General features: G+C 49.5%; 1 protein-coding gene and 1 long non-coding RNA gene across 6 annotated transcripts in view; one reads left to right on the top strand and one right to left on the bottom strand.

Annotated features, from left to right (window-relative positions):
* Positions 1-21,176, top strand: part of SNX29-AS3 (SNX29 antisense RNA 3) — an 80,226-nt gene that overhangs the window by 21,470 nt on the left and 37,580 nt on the right. The gene's annotated exons all lie outside the window — the stretch shown is intronic.
* The window catches only part of SNX29 (sorting nexin 29), a 597,554-nt gene continuing 591,763 nt past the window's right edge, over positions 15,386-21,176 (bottom strand). For all 5 annotated transcript variants that reach the window (NM_032167.5, XM_011522741.4, XM_005255682.5 and 2 more), the window contains one exon: positions 15,386-21,167. In NM_032167.5, coding sequence (NP_115543.3) covers positions 21,044-21,167 — 124 coding nt within the window. In that variant the 3' untranslated portion in view covers positions 15,386-21,043. The remainder of the gene's footprint in view (positions 21,168-21,176) is intronic.

Raw genomic sequence — 21,176 nt, 5'->3', positions numbered from 1 at the left:
AAGGATGTGTGCCTAGGAGACAAGTCTATGCCTTTCTCTGAAGATGATTTTGAAGGCTCCAAATTTAGAGGATATTAAGAAGCACACAGTTGTCATGTAAGAGCTGGGAAGGGAAAAAGTCATTTGTGCCTTTGGCTCAGTCAATCTGCGTTTTTTACATAAGATGGCAGATAATTGGGGCAGAGGAAAAATACAGGGAATCTACATGTTTACATAAGATAACAGACAAAATGGGGCAGGGAACAATCAGATACGCATTTGTTCCTGGTGGGCCCTGGGTGACTGCACCTCTGAAGATGAGCTATCAATTTACATTGCCGTGGGGACATTTTAACAGAAAGACCTTAGGGTTAAGGATCTTGGAGCTCATAATTTCTTCATGGGTAAAATACGGAAGAGGCTTGTAGCTCTTAATCTTGTCACCATCTTGTTTAAGAAGGAAAAGGGGAGACAGGTTTGCGTGACCCAGTTTCCAGCTTGACTTTTCCCTTTGGCTGAATGAGTTTGGGGTTCCAAGATTTATTTTGAGAGATGGAGTCTTGCTATGTCACAAAGACTCGAAGTGAAATTGTGCTATCTTGGCTCACTACAACCTCTACCTCCCAGGTTCAAGTGATTCTCCTGCCTCAGCTTCCCAAGTAGCTGGGACTATAGGCGTGTGCCACCATGCCCAGCTAATGTTGGTATTTTATCTTTTCATTTAATTTTTCATAGAGATGGGGTTTCACTATATGTTGGCCAGGCTAGTCTTGAACTCGTGATCTCAGATGATCTGCCTGCCTCAGCCTCTGAAAGTGCTAGGATTACAGGCATGAGCCACTGCACCCTGCCTTGTTTTGTTGAACACAGGGTCGCACTCTGTGACACACGCCTGGAGTACAGTGGCATGATCATAGCTCATTGCAGCCTTGACCTCCTGAGCTCAAGCAGTCCTCTTGCTTCAGCCTTCCGGGTAGCTAGGAGCACAGGTCTCCATGCCTGGCTAACATAATTTTTAAAACCTTTTTGCAGAAATGAGGTCTTGCTATATTGTCCAGGCTGGTCTCAAACTCTAGGTCTCAAGTGGTCCTCCCGTCTTGGACTCTCAAACTCTGGAATTACAGGCATGAGCCACCATGCCTGGCTGGATCTGGATGTATTTTGATAGGAATTGCTGACAAATCAGGTGTGTGAGGTGTGAAAGGAAGGACTGAAAGCCAACTCCAGTTTCTGGCCTACTCACTGCAGTTACTCAGGGACTCTGGGAGGGGAAGATTGGAGGTGGAACAGGTTTGAGAGCAGGACTAGGAGCTCCCTTTGGAAATACGAACTTTGAGAGGTTGAGATGCCAGGCAGCAGTGTCAAGTGAGCAATGAAAATACAGGTCAGTAGTTGTGTGAAGAACAACAGGGATAACCCGTGTGAATTTGGGGATCAATAGGTTGTGGCCTTAAGTTAAAAGCAGGAGGCTGAAGTCAGGCGCAGTGGCTCACACCTGTAATCCTAGTGCTTTGGCAGGCCGAGGCAGGTGGATTGGTGGATTGCCTGAGGTCAGGAGTTAGAGACCAGCCTGGCCAACGTGGTGAAACCTTGTCTCTACTAAAATACACACCCATACAATACTGTCTCGGCGTGGTGGCCTTCACCTGCAGCCCCATCTACTCCAGAGGCTGAGGTATGAGAATCTCTTCAACTCAGGAGGTGAAGGTTGCAGGGAGCTGAGATTGCATCACTGCACTGCAGTCTGGGTGACAGACTATCACCCCCCAGAAAAAAGGCAGGAGGGGAATGTGGAGGGTGTATATGGAAAAAACTGAGGATACTGTAGGTTATGTTGCAATAACAAACACCCCCAAAGGGCATTGTTTTCACATAATAAATTTGTTCCTTGCTTGAGGTATCCATTCAGTACAGGCCAGCTTGGGGGGCTTTGGGCACTGTGGCTCCCCTGGGAGGAGGCTGGTGGAGGGTCTCCACATGAGCTTGGTGATCATCACCCACAGCAGAGGGAAGGGAAGGTAGATCCCACACCAGCCTTCTGAGCTCACACCTGGAATGGACATAGATGACTTCCTTTCAAATGTTATTGGCCAAACCAGGATGCCTGACTACTTCTAACCTCACAGGGTGCTTAGAAGAAAACCGGAGGTATCAACAAATGGCACTCGTGAATGATACAAAAGGCATAACCTATGCTTGAAGCTTTCTGCAGATCATTCACTGAAATATTTGAGGGTGAACTGCTCTGCCAGGAAGTTATTCTAGGAGCTGAGAGGGCAGCACAGAGTAAGGTGAAGTCATCACTCTAACTCCCACTTAGCTATTTGGGAATACAGCAGTGCGTGTGGTGGTTTCAGACAGAATGATGAGGGAAAACCTCCCTGTGATGAGTTGAACAGGGTGAGGAGGATTCCATAGGCACAAGTGTTTAGGTAAGCGTCACCTTGAGCCTGGGACATGCTGGGTCTGGGGAGGAGGAGAGATGGTCGTGGTGGGCAGGAACCGGGACCACCTAACACCAGTGGGCTGCAGTGGTGGGCTAATGTTTCAGTCCAACCCTGCAGGCAGCTTTGAGTTTTCAGCACAGGGAATGATCTCTGATACTTTTTTTTTTTTTTTTTTTTTTTTGAGATGCAGTCTTGCTCGGTTACTCATGCTGGAGTGCAGTGCACCATCTTGCCTCACTGCAATCTCCATGTCCCAGGTTCAAGTGATTCTCGTGCCCCAGCCTCCCGAATAGCTGGGACTTACAGGCGTGCGCCACCACACCCGGCTAGTTTTTCTATTTTTTAGTAGAGACAGGGTTTTGCCATGTTGGCTAGGCTGTTCTCGAACTCCTGACCTCAGGTGATCCACGTGCCTCGGCCTCCCAAAGTGTGCTGCGATTACAGGTGTGAGCCACTGCCCCCAGCCTCTGATTGTTTTACAAACATCACTGGCTACAGTGGAATATAAGTGTGATAAGAGAATGAATTATTGATACATACAACACTGTGGACGAATCTCAAAGATTATGTTGAGTAAGAGAGGCCAGACGGGACTGTTTGCACACTATGCGATGTGATTTACATGACATCCGGGAATAGGCCAACTCCTCCATGGTGACAGAAATCAGGAAGCAGCTGCCTTGCTGAGTTCAGAGTGGGAATTAGCTGGAAAGGGGCGGCAGGGAACATTCTACGGTGGAGGATGCTGTATTTGGAGGAAGTCGCAAGCATATGTATGTACAGATGACATATACATACCTATACCTATTTAACCTACAGCTTATGGGGTGGGCCCATTGGCTTAGGCCTGTAATCCGAGTACTTTGAGAGGCAGAGGCGGGGAGGATCGTGTGAGCCCAGGAGCTCGAGACCAGCTTGGGCAACATGGCAAAACCCCAAGTCCACTAAAAATACAAAAAATTAGTCCAGCGTGGTGGTGTGTGCTTGTAATCCCAGCTACTCAGGAGGCCAAGATGGGAGGATTGCTTGAGCCTGGAAGTTGATAGCACCATTGCACTCCAGGCTGAGTTACAGGAGTAAGACTGTCCTAATACACACATACATATACACACATGTATATACATGTGTGTATAGTGCTTATGTGTTTGCATGTTAAATTTACATCGTATGGAGGTATATGTGTGCATATAAAATATGTGGTGTCTGATGGGGAAATAAAGGTACGGGGATAGGGCAGAGATCAGCAGAAGGCTTTTAGCGTGTCTCAGCAGATGCTCACGGTGACCTAGAAGAGAGCATGGCAGCAGAGATGGAGTGATGTAGATGGGTGTGGGTGGAGAAGTGTGTTGGGGTTTTTTTTTTCCTTGGAATAGAGTCTGACTGTCACTCAGGCTGGAGTGCAGTGGCGCAATTTCAGCTCACTGCAACCTCCACCTCCCGGGTTTAACCAATTGTGTCACCTCTGCCTCCCAAGTGCCTGAGACTACAGGCGTCCACCACCATGCCTGGCTAATTTTTGTGTTTTTAATAGAGATGAGGTTTCACCACATTGGAGAGCCTGGTCTCTTAACACCTGACCTCAGCTAATCCACCTGCCTCAGCCTCCTAAAGTGCTGGGATTACAGGTGTGAGCCACCATGCCTGGCCAAGTTAGTTTCTTTTTAGGGCTGTTGTAACGCATGGCCATGGACTTGGTGGCTTAGTGGAAGTTTGTTCCCCAGCAATTCTGGAGGTGAGAAGGCTGGAATTGCGTTGTGGGCGGGGCCCTCCTTTCTGTGAAGACCCCTTCTTTGGCTTCCTGTGGTTTCTGCCAGTCCTAGGCATTTCTCAGTGCAAGGATGTGTGGCTCCAGGTTCTATCTGTCTCTTTACCAAGACTTGGTCATCTCTATTTCCGCAGGGTCTGTCTTTTTACGGAGCCTTGGTCATCTCTATTTCCATGTTCTGCCTTCTTAGAAGGGCTCTGAGCATTAGATGGAGGACCCACTCGAATTTAGTATGACTTGACTTTAATGTAACTATATCTACAAAGACCTATTTATCTATTTCCAAATAAGGTAAAATTCTGAGGTTCCGGGAGGACCCCTGGATCTTATGGGGATATTCATCAACACATGACAGGTATTGCATGTAGAGCAGATGGGACTTGCTGATGTGTTGGGTATTGTGGGAAGTCGGTGAAGGCAGAAGAGTCAGGTATGACTCAGGTGTGAGCTTGAAATGCTGGGTGGAGGTGCCTGTACCATCATGAGAGACTGAAGGAGCAGGGTGGGGGAGGCCTCAGGGTTTCTACTTGAGCCATGTTACATCTGAGATGCCTAGGAGATATCTACATGGGAGAGTCTCAAGTGTATGGGCAGTGTTGAAAGCAGCAGATAAAACTGGGAAAGGATGTAGACAAAGGGGCCAAACACCCAGCCTTCAGTCCTTACCCTTGAGAGGTTGCCAAATAGAGGGAGACACGGAAGTACAGCAGCGTTTGTGATCCTTCAAACAGAAACAAATGCAAGCTACAGTAACAATAGTCAAAGAAAAAAGGCAGATAAGGCCTGCCGTGGTGACTCAGGCCTGTGATCCCAGCATTTTGGGTGGCTGAGGTGGTTGGATGACCGGAGGTCAGAAGTTCAAGACCAGACTGGTAAACGTGGCAAAGCCCAGTCTCTACGAAAAAACAAAAATTAGCCAGGCGTGATGGCATGTGCCTGTAATTGGGAGGCTGAAGCACAAGAATTGCTCGAACCGGGAGGTGGAGGTTGCAGTGAGCTGAGATGGCGCCTACTGCACTCCAGCCTGGGTGACAGTGAGATTCAGTCCTAACTTTTCTTTTCTTTTTTTTTTTTTTTTTAAGACATTGCAGTTGCACTGCAGAGAAATCAAAATCACTTTCCATGGGTTCATGTATCTTGATGAAGCAGCCTACTCGAATTCAACTAACTCATTTCATGCAGAATAGGGAAACACTTCTGGTTTTCAAAGAATGAAAAAGCTGTTATGGCTACTGAGGGGCTGAAGCAGGAAAATTGCTTGAACCCGGGAGACAGAGGTAGCCGTGAGCCGAGACTGCTACACTGCACTCCAGCCTGGGTGACAGTGAGATTCCGTCTCAAAAAAAAAAAAAAAAAAAAAATTACGATATTCAGTCTCAGAACATTTTGAGCCTTGGGTGGATTGGGATGTTGCTCTTGCTCTTCCTCCTCAGGGTTAAGTAACCACAGGAGGGACACTTAGGGAAAGCCCCTCTTCAGAGAACACAGGATTCCCCTGGCACAGGATACAGGGGTGTCCTAGATTTCTGCTACTATGAACCCTTGTCCTTGGAGGCCGTCTGTGTCCTTGGAGGCAGTCTCTGGGATGCTTTTCAGGGATGAGGGCAAGCTGAGATCCCATGATCCAAGGAGGCTTTCTTGCTTTTTTTTTTTTTTTTTAAGTCTTGCTTTGTCACACAAGTTGGACTGCCGTGGTGTGATTATGGTTCACTGCAGCCTCAACCTCCCAGGGCCCAGGTAATCCTAACTCAGCCTCACAAGTACCTGGGACTACAGGCATGTACCACCACACCCAGCTGTTTACTTATTATTTTGTAGAGATGGAGTCTCACTATGTTGTCCAGGTTGGTCTTGAACTTCTGGGCTCAAGCAATCCTGCCTTGGCCTCCTAAAGTGCTGGGATTTACAGATGTGAGCCACTGCACCCTACCCCAAGGAGGCTTTTGAGATCCAGATAAACCCCCATCCCCTGGTTCCAGTCCTGGTTCAGGGTTTGTAGCCACCTGAGCTGGGTTGTCTACACATGGCAGAGGCTTGGAAGACCAACATGTCACCCCCTTCCACAGAGCAGCTGCTCCCGACCAGACATGAGGCACATGCAGCCATCACTGAGACACAGTGGGTCAGGGTCTTGGCTCTGAGCTGTAACAGCTGAGGGCATAGGGTCTAGTTGGTGTTTTCACAGCCAGCCTGTCGGAAATCTCGTGGATGGCGGTGGGATAATTATGCTTTTTCACCAGGAGAGAGGGAGAGGAGCCTAACAGCAAGTAATCGTTACTTAGTTCATTCATTCACTGAATTATTCATTCACTTAACTGAGTGTCTATTATGTTCCGACAATGGTGAATAAAACCAACACGGTCCCCTCCCTCTCCAGTCCTTTGGGTGATGCTGGGGTGTGGTCAAGTGTACAGCCCACCAAGGAACTGAGCTGGGTGGGTTTTTAGTGTCACTCTGGGAGACTAGGAGCTGAGGAAGCAAAGCTGGCCGGGCTGAAGGCATGGAGAGCTGCTGCCACCCAGACAGCCTCACCAGAGTTGGAGGAGGGTGGCGGAGGGACGCAGGGTTGTCAACCTCTGGTGACTGGGTTTTACCATACTCAGTGCCTCTGTCACCCATGGTGATGATGCTGATGTTTGCGAGGCAGAAGGTGGCCTCCCTGAGCTGCAGGCTGCACTTGTGTCCCGGGGTGACAGCTTGGCAGGTCACTGCAGGGGGACTGACAAATTCCAAAGCCTGTGCACACAGGACTCACCTTACTGTTTCCCAGAACTCCTGGTTCTGTAAAGAGCAAGAACACGGAGTAATACTGCTCCTTTTAGGAGAAAGGGCGGGAAACGGAACAGGCAGACCTGGCAGTTGGGCGTCTCATGGAGAAGTAAGGACGTCCGCGACATAAAATGAATATTAGAAGAAACTAGTTTTTTTCCTAGAAAAGGCATGTCTTCGTTGAGCTGCTCATCTCTCTGTGCCCATAATACCTTGGGGAGTGAGTCAGGTGTCCTGGGGGGCAGTGGTGAGGCTGGGATACAGCAGTCTCGATTCCCCCCAACCCCAACCCCAACCCCAACCCCAACCCCAACCCCACAACACGCTGTCCTTGCACTTAAGTCCACCATTCAGTGCTGTGTGGTTTTGAGCACGTTTCACCACCTCTCTAGGCCTCAGATTCCTTCCAGCATTGCTGTAAGTCTTGTAACGGCTTTGAAGGGTAAACATCAAGGGCTTAGTAGCCCAGGATCTGACACACAGTAAGTGCTCAATAAATAAAAATAATCATTAGCAATACAGGGTGTCCTGAAATAAGTCTATGGGCCTTTGTCTGCTGCGGTGGAACGACTTAATGGGACTATCCAGTCTCCACACCAAAGAGGATCGGACTGACCATCCATTGAGCACTTACTGTATGCTTGATGCTCCATTGCCTCATTTGTTCCTCCCGACAACCGCATGAGGTGAGTAATGCTGTTGGTCCCATCTGACAAACAGGCCTCGAAGGATAGCGTCCCTGCTCGAGCCATTCTCCATGTCGTTCTTGAGTCTTTCAGCTGCTTTTAGGGTTTTTTGGTTTCTATGTAATTTACCTTCTCCAAGGCTCAGTTCCCCCGTTGGGGAAAATGGGGGTCGAGAATTCCTGCCTCGTGGGACTGAGGGTTTTAAATAAGAAAAGGTGGCCAGCGGCTCACTGGTGCGTTCACTGTCTGAGATGTTTCTGGCTCCCGGGTTGTGCCCCAGGCATCTTGCCATGGACCAGGATTGGGGTCAGAGCAGAGAAAGTGGAAGAATGAGCTAGGGGAAGAGTGTGAGGCATTGAACAACAGCTGTGTTCACAGATGTGAGAAGACCCTTCAGAAACGCTTGCTTAGAGACAAACGGTGTTCTGAGCACTCTCTACATCTTACTCATTTAATACAATGACCAGCAGGAAGGTCATTTTCCAGATTGAAGACATTGAGGCCTGGAGAGGTTGATAGACAAGGCTCAGCTCCCATAGCCAGGTGGGGCAGAGCCAGGCCTTGGTAGGAGACCCCCACCTCAAGCCCTTGACTCCCTTGCCACAGTCAGTGCCTGTTTGTTTTTTGAGACAGTCTCACTCTGTTGCCCAGGCTGGAGTACAATGGCATGCTCTTGGCTCACTGCAACCTCTGCCTCCTGGGTTCAAGCAATTCTCCTGCCTCAGCCTCCTAAGTAGCTAGGATTACAAATGTGCAACGCCGTGCCTGGCTAACTTTTTTATTTTGAGTAGAACAAAGGGTTTCACCATGTTGGCCAGGCTGGTTTCCAACTCCTGACCTCAGGTGATCTGCCTACCTCTGCCTTCCAAAGGTGCTGTGGTTACAGGTGTGAGCCATCACGTCCAGCTAGTCATGAGCCTTCTCATGCGTGGGCTTGCAAGGGGTTCCATTCTTTAATCTGATTTTTCTGGTCTGAACATAATGTTTGAGAGGGTGGCCATGGGGAACTGTGAAGCGCTGGCTGTGTCATCAGAGGGAAACCCCCTTTGCAGTGGGCTGGTTTTACGGAGGAGTCCTGCCACCTCCCCAGGGTACTTAATCGACCTCCTCATGGCTGGCAGCACATCAGAAGTCACGTGGTCCAGCCCTGTCTTGGGTGGTAACTCCCATCTATTCTGTGTGATCAAAAAGTTGACCTCTTGCCATAAGCTGCTGAACAGGCCTGTGATAAATGTTAACCTTGTTTGACTTAAAATCTCCAGCAAACTTGGTTGGCCGTCCCAACTGGTGTCAGACCCAGTTAACAGCACAGGATAGGAAAACAATCCCACGTTTCTTTCACCATCCTCCTAGCTGCCCTTTCACTCAGTGGTCAGGGCTAAGATTTTGGGATGGAAAAGCTTGGGTTTGAATCGGCAGTAATGCTGCGTCAAAGCTGTGGGCACGTGGGCAAGCTTCTTGCCCCTCTGGGCTTCAATCTCATCTGAGAAATCGGGGTGATGACTAGGGATTTCACTGTGGTAAAATACACGTAACATAAACTGTCTCATGTTACCTATCTGGTGAGGGTGCTGTTGTGTGGTATTCGGTACATTGAAGTCATTATGCAGCTGACACTGTCGTCCATCTCCAGAACTACTCCATCTTCCCAAACAAACTCTACACACATTAAACACGAACTTCTTATCTACCTTTCCTCCAACCCCTGGCCACTGGCACTCTACCTTCTCTCCCTTTGAATTTGGCTCTTCTAGGAAATGCCATATGTGTAATCATACAGAATCGCTCATTCTTTGTGACTGGTTTATTTCCGTCAGCATAATGTCCTCGCATTAGTCCGTTCTCTCATTGCTATAAAGAACTGCCTGAGGCCGGGCACGGTGGCTCCACACCTGTAATCTCAGCAATTTGGGAGGCCATGGTGGGTGGATCACCTGAGGTCAGGAGTTGCACAGCAGTTTGACCAACATGGTGAAACCCTGTGTGTACTAAATACAAAAAATTAGCTGGACATGGTGGCATGCACCTGTAATCTCTGCTACTCGGGAGGCTGAGGCAGTAGAATCGTTTGAACCCAGCAGATAGAGGTTGCAGAGAGCTGAGATTGTGCCACTGCACTCCAGCCTCGGCAACAGTGAGACTCAGTCTGAAAACCCCAACTACCTGAGACTGGGTAATTCATAGAGAAAAGAGATGTAATTGACCACAGTTCTGCAGGCTGTACAGGAAGCGTGGCTGGAAGGCCTCAGGAAACTTAAAATCATGGCAGAAGTCGAAGGGGAAGCAGGCACATCTCATCATGGTGGAGTTGGGAGAAACAGCAAAGCGGGAGGTGCTACACACTTTTAAATGACCAGATCTCGTGAGAACTCTTGCTATTGAAAGAATAGCAAGGGGGAAATCTGCTCCCATGATCCAATCACCTCCCTCCCCCAACACTGGGCATTACAATTTAACCTGAGATTTGGGTAGGCACACAGAGCCAAACCATACCAGTCCTCAAGCCTTATCCATGTGTCAGCATTGCCTTAATTTTTAAGGCTGAGCACTCCTCCCTTGTGTGGAAAGAGCCGGTGTTGTTGACCCATTCATCAGGAGGATGATTTTTAGGACGAGATGCTATGTCCTGTTTTTGCTGTAGAAAATGTAATCTAAATCCTTTAGGATAACCTCAAACTGTGAATTCTTTTTTTTCCTTCAACTTGTAGGTTGAGAGGTGCAGGTTTGTTACGTGGGTAAATTGGGTGTCGGGGGTTTGGTGTAGGGATTATTTTGTCACCCAGGTAAGAAGCCTACTCCGTTAGGTGGTTTTACAACCTACAAGGAGGCCCCACTGTCTGTTGTTCGCTTGTGTCCATGTGTACTTGATGTTTAGCTTCCACTTGTGAGAACATGTATTTGGTTTTCTGTTCCTGCATTAATTCTCTTAGGAATAACAGCCTCTAGTTGTGTTCATGTTGCTGCACACGAAGTGATTGTTTTTTTATGGCTGCATAGTATTCCGTGGTACCACATTTTCTACGTGCCATATAGTTTTTATCCAATCCATTGATGGGAACCTAGCTTGATTCCTTGTCTTTGCTGTTATAAATTCTTTAGGTGCCCTCAGCAGCATCACAGATGACACACGTCTCCCAATAGTGCACTTTGTTGTAGGTATTTGAAACACCTTTCCTAATTGCCCCTCCCCAGGCCTATCTCATTGTTTCTGGATCCCAGGGCTCAGTGTAGGGCTGGCATGGAGCAGGGGTGGTAGGGGGCGTGGAACACCTGCTGCTATGATGCTGGCCACACTGCCTCCCTCAGCCGACCACTGGTGGCTGCTTTTGAGGAGTCACTGGATGCCTGTGTTAGCCCTGGGGTTGGCACTTAAAGGGTGACATCTAGGAGGAGCATTAGTTCCCTGCCTTTTCTGGTTTCCCGAGGCTGCCTGCATTCCCTAGCTGTGAAGGCCCTTCCACCATCTTCTAAGCTAGCAGGGTGGCATCTTCAAGTCTCATACTGTCCCTTGTCTCTCTCCTTCCACCATCACGTCTCCTCTCCTGACTCTTCCAAGGACTCTTCTGATGCCACTGGGCTGCTTAGATGATCGGCGGCATCTCCCCATCTGCAGATCCTCCAGTTATTCCCATCTGCAAAGGCCCTTGCACCATGTGTATTGCTTCCTGGAGGTGCTGTCATGAGTGACCATAAGATGGTGGCTCAAAACAAACAAATGTATTTCTACTTCTGAAGGCCAGGGGTCTGAATTCCAGGTGTTGGCAGTGCTGGCTCCTCCTGGGGCCTCTGAGGGCGGGTGCCCCGTGCCCCTCTCCTGGCCTGTCATGGTTGCCGGCACTCCTGGACGCACCTTGGGTTGTAGCTGCCACACGCCAGTCCCTGCCTGTCTTCACAAGCTGTTTTCCCTCTGTCCAGATTTCCCCCTCCTGGCAGGGACACCAGTCACTGGATTGGCACTCACTCAAATACAGTGTGACCTCATCTTGATGACATTTGCAAAGACCCTCTGTGTCCAAGTAAGGCCACACTCAGGTTCTAGGCAGGCATGAGTTTTGGGGGACACTGTTCAACCCCCTGCCCCTTGTAAGGTCATACATTCACAGGTTTCGGGGATTTGGGTGTGGGTGTCTTTGGGGCCATTGTTGGGTCTGTCACAGATGGCATGTCACAGATGTATGCAGACTCTAGGAGGAACACTCCGTGTGGAGAATCCAGGCTGCCTCGGCCTGTCAGTCAGTCATCAAGGTTCTCAGAGGTCCCGCTTCACACACAATGATGCCTCAATTACCCATCACTTACATGCATGTCGGAAAGAATCCTCAGAATCCTCAGCTATAGATGGTGGGGCATTAGCGCAGGCTTTGAGGCCACTCTCAGGGCAAGTTTCTATGACAGCCCCCCACATCCCTGCCCCTTCATAGCAGATTTTAGGGTTCGGTTTTGTTTTGAGACGGGCTTGCTTTGTTGCTCAGGCTAGAATACAGTGGTGTGATCACAGCTCATGGCAGCCTCTGCCTCCTAGGCTCAAGCGATCCTCCCATCTGTCTCCTGAGGAGCTGAGACACAGGCATATGCAACCACACCTGGCGTGTGTGTGTGTGTGTGTGTGTGTGTGTGTGTGTGTACATGTGGTTGTGTTTTTTTGTAGAGATGGAATTGTTACTGTGTTGACTAGGCTGGTCAAAATTCCTGGGCTCAACTGATCCAACCCATCTTGGCCTCTAAAAGTGTTGGGATTGCAGGTGTGAGCCACTGCACCCAGCCAATACTTTTTAAAGCACTGTCTGCCACGGCAGAGGTCACCAGGAGCAGAGCAGGGCAGGAGTCCTACGGAGGATTGTGGTCGAGTGACTGATCCAAACCAATGTTAAAGGTCGCAGTGGTTGCTGCGTGGAGAGGAGCCTGAATGGCAGTGTGATGGCACGGGGGGTGACTGGGGAGGACAGTGTGGCACCCACATCATGAGAGGCAATGGCAGCTTTGACCATGGTGGTGGTGAGGCGTGGAGGGTGCTGGAAGCAGTCGGATCTAGATCTATTTCAGGGGTGGAACCAAGGGCAGTAGTGCACCTTACCTGTCTTGCTCACTGCCGTGTGCCCGGCAACTGGTATACAGTAGGTGCTTGTTTCTTAAGGAAGTGAATAAATAGGAACCTGGTCAATTACGAGGTAGGGGACAGGAAGAGGCAAGGACTGGTGGCCTCCACAGCTGCTGAGATGGAACCTCTACTTCCTGAGCTGGGGAGTCACGGGTAGGAGCACTTTTGGGGCAGAAAACAAAAGATGCCTTTTAGTTTGGTTTGAGATGCTCATGAAGTGATGCAAATGGAGTGTTGGTTAGGCAGTCAGAGATGAGGCTGACATAGGTTTGGGAGTTGGGTCCACAGAGCTCTGTTGCCCAATACGGGAAGACACCAGTCATACAGGACACTGAGTCCTTGAGATGCAGTTCGTCTGAGCAGAGCTGTGCAGTGCATAAAATAACACACCAGTTTGGCAGACTTAGTACCCAAAAATGGAAAATAAATCAGTAAGATTCAAAAGGATTGCGTGTTGAAATGGCAATGTCTTGGATGTATTGGGTTAAATGAAATAAACTATTACAATTATCACCTGCGTTTTAAAAATATTTTTAATGGGGCTACTAGAATTTGTTTTTGTGAAACAGGATCTCACTCTGTTGCCCAGGCTGGAATGTAGTGCTATGATCACTGCTCACTGCAGACTTGAACTCCTGGGCTCAAGCGATCTACCTGTCCTGGCCTCCTGAGTAGCTGGGAAGACAGGAGCATGCTACCATATGTGGCTAATTAAAAAAAAAAAAAAAAAAAAAAAAAAAACTGGGCCGGGCACGGTGGCTCACTGCTGTAATCCCAGCACTTTGCGAGGCCGAGATGGGTGGATCACGAGGTTTAGGAAATCCAGACCATCCTGGCTAACATGGTGAAACCCCATCTCTACTTTAAAAAAAAAAAAAAAAATTAGCCAGGCATGGAGGCATTTGCCTGTAGGTCCCAGCTACCTGGGAGGCTGAGGCAGGAGAATGGCGTGAACCCAGAAGGCAGAGGTTGCAGTGAGCTGAGATTGGTGCCACTGTACTCCAGCCTGGGCGACAGAGCAAGACTCCGTCTCAAAAAAAAAAAAAAAAATAAAAAAAATAAAAACAAAAACAAAAAAAACAAAAAAACCTTGTTAGAGACAGGGTTTTGCTATGCTGCCCAGGCTGGTCTTGAATACCTGGCCTCAAGCTGTCCTCCTGTTTCGGCCTCCCAAAGTGCTGGGATTACAGGCCTGAGCCATTGCACCTGGCTGAAAATTTTAAATGGCATACATGGCTCACATGGTATTTCTGCTGGACAGCGCTGATGGAGGTGGCATTGGGAGGGTCACTTAGGATGGTGCAGGACAGGAGCAGCAGCCTGAAGACTGCCTTGACGTCCCTCTGCATTCCCCTAAGTGCGGCCTCCTGACTTAATGCCCATGGCAACGCAGCTGTGGGGTGCCTGGCATAGTGCCCACATCACCCCCACCCCCAGACAGAAATGGTTACGCATCGCCTCCATCTGTGACAGCCCACAGCAGCCTTTGCGCAGCCGGGCTTTAAGAGCCACCTGCAACAATGCCCTTCATGCGGCCCTGGTGGGAACTGACTTTATGCCTGGATTCTCATCCCAGGAGCCTTTCTTTTCTCTGTTACCATAACTGGGTTAAAAATGTTGCCTATTTTGTTGCAGGGTCTGAGTACTTAAGCCAGTGTAAATTATTTGGGAGGTGTGGGGGCAGTGCAGAGTTTCTTTTCATCCTTTAGGTCTCAGCTTAAAAGTCACTTTAGCCAGCCAGGTGTGGTGGCTCACACATGTAATCCCAGCACTTTTGGAAGCTGAGGTGGGTGGATCACTTGAGGTCTGAGTTCGAGACAAGCCTGACCAACATGGAAAAACCCTGTCTCTACTAAAACATAAAACTTTAGCCAGGAGTGCTGGCCCATGCATGTAATCCCAGCTACGCAGGAGGCTTGAGGCAGGAGAATTGCTTGAACCCGGGAGGCGGAGGTTGTGGTGAGCGGAGATGGCACCTTTGCACTCCAGCCTGGGCAACAAGAGTAAAAAACTGTCTCCAAAAAAAAAAGCCACTTTAGCCAAGAGGACCCCTTGGCCTTAGCCCCATGGCTCTCCACTGGCCCCCCTCCCCCCAGGGGACCTCTGGCCATGTCTGGACATCTGTCTGTTACAACTAAAGGGGTGCCCCTGGCCTCTAACAGGTGGAGGCATCCTACAATGTACGGGACGGCCCCCCACAACAGAATCATCCAGTCCCCAATGACAGCAGTGCCTAGGCTGTTGAACGTAGATTCTTGGTTGGGACCAAGAATTTCTAATTCCTGTCACTCTTGCAATATTTACTGTGGTCTGAAATTATCCGGATGGTTGACTTCTTAAAAATCTGTCTGCTTCATGTCCAGTGCGACTCCAACAGTACACCTTACCTGTCTTACTGCTGTATGCCAAGCACCTGGTATACAGTAGCCGCCTAATAATTGTTTCTTCTAGAAGTGAATACATAGGTACCTGTAATGAGGAGTGTTTTCTGTATGAAATTTTAATGCTGCATTGCCAGTTTATCCAAATCTGCCTAATTAACTCAAAATGAGATTCTGCTCCATTTCAATTCAGTTGATCCACGTGTATTAAGTTCACCTCAATCTCCAGTTGTTGAAAAAGAACTGAGACAGAGACCATCCACTGAAGTATCTAATTTATAAAATGTCACAATTTGTGTCATTGTAAAGAGGTTGATCTCAACCAGGTTGTAACAAAATTTCCACAGCTTATTCCAAAAGAAAATTTTAATACAAGAGATCTTAAAAAATTAAACACATTTGTTTAAAAATCCTATTATGTAAACCTTAACATAAGAGGGTAGTTAAGATAATACTACAGGTTTCAGGGCGTTTCCACAGACTTCTAGACCTTATGTACACACAGACTATCAGACTCTAGATATGTGGCCTGCTTACCCTTAAGGGGGTGCACTGGGAGCCGATCATGGGCGCCCCCTAGTGGGGTTACCATCGCTCCTCCATTCAAAAAAGACTCGCTTCTCTAAGAAGTCGGTGTCAGGTGAGTAAGCGTTCTACCTGACGGCTAAGCCAGGGATGAAGAGAGGCCAACATTCTTCTTAGGATGAGTCCTGGATAATAAAAATTCCAATTAGCTCTACCCCCATCCCCTTCACTCCGGGAAATTAATGGTCTCTGGGGTCACTGAGCGTTTAGTAGCTCTGGGTGCAAATGTACGATCCACCATTCCGTGTGCTACTGTCCTCAGTCCCAATTTTTGCAAGGGCATCCTCTGTCTTACCTACACTGACAGTGAATGAGTGGTGGTTCCCCTTGCCGTTCATGGAGACCAGCGGCAGAGCTGAGAAAATTTGAGGGGAAGTGGGGGAAGCCTGGGTGAGTGGTTTTCCGGTTAGGATGGGAAAACACTTACGCACCAGTAAGAACTAAATCCCTGGGCCTCTTAAACCACCAGTGAATCTAGAATCTTCCGCCAGCAGCGCTGCTCCTTAATGTCATAGGCTCAACTATCTTATTAAGGAAGCCAGATTTCTTTTTCACTTCTCTATAGAAACTAGCTATAAGGAAGGATACGCAACTTGGTTGCTGGGATTTAGAAGTAACTGTCTACTCCATGACATAATTCAGAGTACCCAAATCGGGCCCATAAGATGGCAATGGCTCATGGCTAGAGTGAGGAATACCAGAGATGACTGATCGAGGTACATTTCAACAACCATGGGATGAACTGCGGGATCCGGTCTGCCTAGAGCCGGGAGACCCTGGATGGCTACACCCTTACTTCTATTGACCAAGGAGCTGAAGCTTTATTTTGGAAACAAGATCAAGATTGTGTATTAGAAAAACATAAAGATGAACTTTCTTGGCACAGAAATGAGATAAAATATACAGTGCTACAACTGCAGAATTAGCACGGACGCCAATCTAAAAACAGCAAATATTTAACAGTAGCTTTAATGAATTAATGCACAATATTTTGAAAAATCTTTGACCTTGCTCATAAGCAGATGCCTGCCTTGAAGAAACACTCCAAGTCTGCCGTGATTCCGAGCGAAATGCCAAGGCAGAGTCAAGACAATCATTACCTTTAGGGCTGAAACCTGGGCATGAGGCTGCCCCTTCTGGGATGCCTCCTAACCAGTCTGATGTACTGGGGAAGGAGGAGTGAGGTGGGGTCTTCCTCGGGTCCCAGAAGCTGAAAACCCAGCCCTTCCTTTGCCATCAGTTCTGTGCCAAGGCTGGAAGATGCTGCTGGAGTGCAGGGCTTCCCCCGTGTGGGTGCTGCAGCTCACACAGGAGCTTGGTGGAGGAATGAAGGATGGATTCTGGGGGTAGCCGGAGGGGAGGGGGCTCACTGGGAGCCCAGAGAACATGGCTGGACCTCCCTGTGAGGAGCCAGATGGTGTCGCAGCCCCCTGTGGGGGCTTGAGCACGTGGAGCAGGAAGGCCGAGGCCTGGAACCCCAAGAACTGGTCCTCAGGGTTGGCAAAATGTACCATGCAGAACCAAGAGAGGCAGCCACTGCCGGCCTGGGCCACAGAGCCCTGCCTCAGGCTGTTGGGATATAAGCCGCCTCCAGAAGGCAGAGCCTGCTGTCCATCAACCAGGCAGGCTGGTGGGCTTCACTCCTGTTTCCAACCTGGATTGTGATCACTGGCCCCAGTACTTGTTAGTTGCATCAGCTACAGCCATGGTATCAATCCACCTGGTGTAAACGACTTTCAGGAGCCTCTGGTTTTTAAAGCACAATACTACCTGCCATGGTTCTAAGAAATTACATGGTTATCAAAATTGATCTTAATAAGCTCCAAAGTATGAAGCAGGGCCAAGGGCTGTGATCAGACCCAGTCCACATCCCTCCCCTTCCTCTTCCTAGATCTTGCAAGATGGTTCCCTTGTTTACAACTCCACTGGATGATCCCTTTTATAGCCAGCAGCTCCCTAGATGCAACTGGTGACTGGATGTGAAGATGGCTACCACCATAGACTGTAAGAGCCTCTTCCCTGAAAGTGTCTTCCTTCACCAGGGCCTGCCAGTAGAGAAATGCAGGGGGCTTTGAACCTCAGCTCCAAACTCTAAAATGCCTTGCCAGCAACGTGATTGGAGCATACTGCTAAGTGGGAATCAAAGAAGCTGGAATTTCACACTGATTGCAGGAAGAGTGGCGGAGAAGGTTCTGTCTCAGATCAGGAGTGGATGGTTGGGCTAGGTTTCTAGCAGCCTTTAAGCTCCCTCCCTTAGAAGCTTTTGTTGTCTCTCAAGGAGAGACACCTCTGCCCAGCCCTACCGTTCCTGAGTCGTCTTTCATCTGGGGGAGAAAAAAAGATGTGAAAGATGGAACCTGCTGTTCTGTTTCAGCACAGCAGGCCATGAAGACAGAAGGATTCGGTGTGGATTCTTCCTCCCAGCAAAGGGTGGTCCCAGGAATCCAAGGCCCTTGAGAGGTGGGCCACCCTCGTTCCTCTCTGAGTAGGGGAGGGGGCTTCTGTTCTCAGATGTTGTTTGAAAATCTCCGAGTAATCTTAGAAGAAGACAGATGTGAGGTGCAAGCAATCCTTTCCTCAGGGGTGTCTTCGCCACTCATGGATAAGGTCGTGGCTTAGCCCTCAGAATTGAATCCAGGCTGACAGGCAGTTGACACATTTCCAGGGTGTGGAATTTGGGCACCAGGTTTCAGCCACAATTCTGCTAGGCCTGGGTGTTTCTGCTCCATAACTCCAGGAACTGGGAACCCTGCCAGTTGTTTGTTGCCTGAAGTTCATCCCACCACACTAGAGAGCAGGACGGGATTCTTCTGAGCAGCAAGATGGACCCAATCATTGCAGAACATTCTATGGGATTCCAAAGGGAAGGCTTCGGGGAGTTGCTGTCATGTGCGGGCCACCAGCATTTTTAGAGTGAGAATGAGAGGAGATGGTCTGGATCTGCGAGATGACTCGACTCTACGGTCTGTGCATGATCATGGGGGAGGTACCAGGAGCAGGCAGCTGGGGATGGTCCCCATGTGGCTCCCAGGAACATGCTCTCATTTTGGAGAGCAGACCAGGTTTTTTGTGAATAATTCAGTATTATAAAAGTAGGAGGCAGTTTCTCCCACCAGTTCAATACCAGCTGAGAGCATACTTGTTTCTCACGGGTTAGTATCTCTCAGCAATGGGGGACTGTTGCATTATTATCATGTGCAGAATGTCCAAGGTGCTTCCTCGTGGGGTATCTGGAGAGAGACCAATTCACATCCTGTGCTTTGGGGGCAGGTGTCAGAAAAGGTGCAGGTCATAAGCCTGGGCCCAAGGGAATGTCACAGATGGGGGAGGTTCCTTTATCCAACAGAGAACAGGGAGATGACCTCCAGGGTAGCTACCCAGGCCAGGGAGGCACTCCTGAGACAGTCTCTGAGCTGGCATCAAACACCTACTTCAAAATGACCGATGTGGCATAAACCCAACCTAAGGGGTCATGACATACAGCAGATTGAGCTTTTAGACGTTTCCTGCCTCAGTCCATTAGGGCTCTCTATTTAGAGTTGCCAGTCATGTGAGCTGATGTGCACTCTGGCCTTGGAATTTCAGATAAACCATGTGTATTGCAGCAATGTTGGCAGGTGAGTGGGAGGGAGACCAAGTTGCCTTTACAGGATGTCTCGGGTCCTCCACACTCGCAAACTGACTGCAGGGTCCGCACCTCCATACATGCTCCAGCTCATTTGGTCTCACCGGGGCAGGGCTTATCTGGCCCCAGGTCCCCTTGGAAGTCATGTAGGCTGACTCGGTTTCTCTGGGGTGGGGGGGCGCTGTGTGTGAGTGATCTCAGCCTTCCTTAAAGGCCATGAACAATCTTCCTTTTTGCTACGAGGGGAAGGCACAGTATAAACCTTCCAGATGATTCTCCAGAGATGTCCTCGAGCCTAGGAGATGCTCCATGCTCACCTGGGCAGTTCTCATTTTAAGCCACTGAGTTGAAGCAGTTCCAGGACAAGCCCATGGCTTACCATCTAACCGTCACCTTCCACCTGCTTTTCTCCTCAGGTTCTGCTGTGTCTCTGCCTCAGATTAAGGCGAAACACACAAACTTACTCTTGCATAGTCCATTTCACGACATCCTTCCTAGTTAGTTTACCCTAGAAATGCAAACTGCCACAACTTTGCTGAGCATCTGAGGACGGCTATTGCTCTGTGAGGTGCTCTGATGTGAGCTCACTGGAGGAGGAGCCCTGGGGGCTGCCCAGCTGCTGGTCCCCATCCTCCTCTCCACCTGCCAAGGTCCCTGTACTCTGAGAGCCACCTGACATGGGAGGAACAGAGGACTCTGTCTTAGGGGATGCAGAGTTCTGTTATCAAGGACAATGTCGGGGGCAGACGGGATGGAAAATGTTTTTAGTGGAGAGACACATGATCTGTTAAGTGTCCACACTGGGTCCAACTTCATAGTCATGGAGCCTGGTTTGAAAACCCTGGAACCTTCTGCAGTGGTTCCCTGACCCAAGTCTCTCATGACTGTAGGGCCAATGCTACTTTGGACACGCTGGATGACGCCGGGTTACTAGGTTGCTGCTGATGGCTGGGCCAGATGTCTGAGTCCCCCCACTCCAAGCCTGGCGAGGGCCTAGGTGGCCTCAGGCTATGGAGGGCACTGGTCCTTCCTGAAGCCAGCCATGGGGGAGGTAGGGGAAGTTCTCTGAACTCAAGTTGCACATCACTAATGGCTCCTTGCCAAAGCCACAGGAATATCCCTCTGGAAAAGTGAGCTGTGACAGTGCCAGGTGTCTAATGACTGTTGGTGGAAAATGCAGTGAAAGGAACCATGCCCCCCCCCCCCCCCCCCCCCGCAAAGCCAGCCATCCCTAGGTTAGGCCAGGTAATAACCTTAAAAAGCAAAAGGAGAGGCTAATAGTCATTCTAGTCCCCACGTGGGAAAGAGTGGAGAGGCTGGCTCTGCATGAACCTTCCTATATAGGGGATCACCTTTGCCTCTCAACCATGGCGCACCCAGCCTGACCTGGTGCCCACCCTCCTGCCAGCCCTGAACTACAGAAAGGTGGAGGAACAGCCCTTGCAGCCCAGGGTAGACCCCAGAAGCAGAAGGACTGTGTGTCCCAGTCTCTCCAGCGAGGTGCTGCCTTGGTCTCTCGGGTCACGGTATCATGCGGCTCGAAGACTGATTAGTTTAATCGGGGTGTTGTGTAACTGTTGGGAATCGTGTGCTCTCAGGATCACCAGGTGGACGTGGTTGTCACGCTGAGGTGAGGGGCCAGCGGCAGTGGCTGGGGTGGACGCAGCTGGTGCCACGCACAGGGCCCGTGGCTGCGGTTTTGTCGAGGTCAGAGGTCACCGCTCTGGGGCTCCACGTTGCGGGTCTCCCGGGGCTGACCCCGGGACAGTTTGGGGAAGCGGGAAGCTGCTTTGGGCCGGCTGTTCACAGGCTCTCCGGGCGGGGTGATGTCGCTGAAAGAG

The sequence above is a fragment of the Homo sapiens genome, chromosome 16 (genome assembly GCF_000001405.40).
Source record: "Homo sapiens chromosome 16, GRCh38.p14 Primary Assembly".
NCBI classification, from domain to species: Eukaryota; Metazoa; Chordata; class Mammalia; order Primates; family Hominidae; genus Homo; species Homo sapiens.
This window is presented reverse-complemented; position numbering and strand designations above follow the sequence as displayed.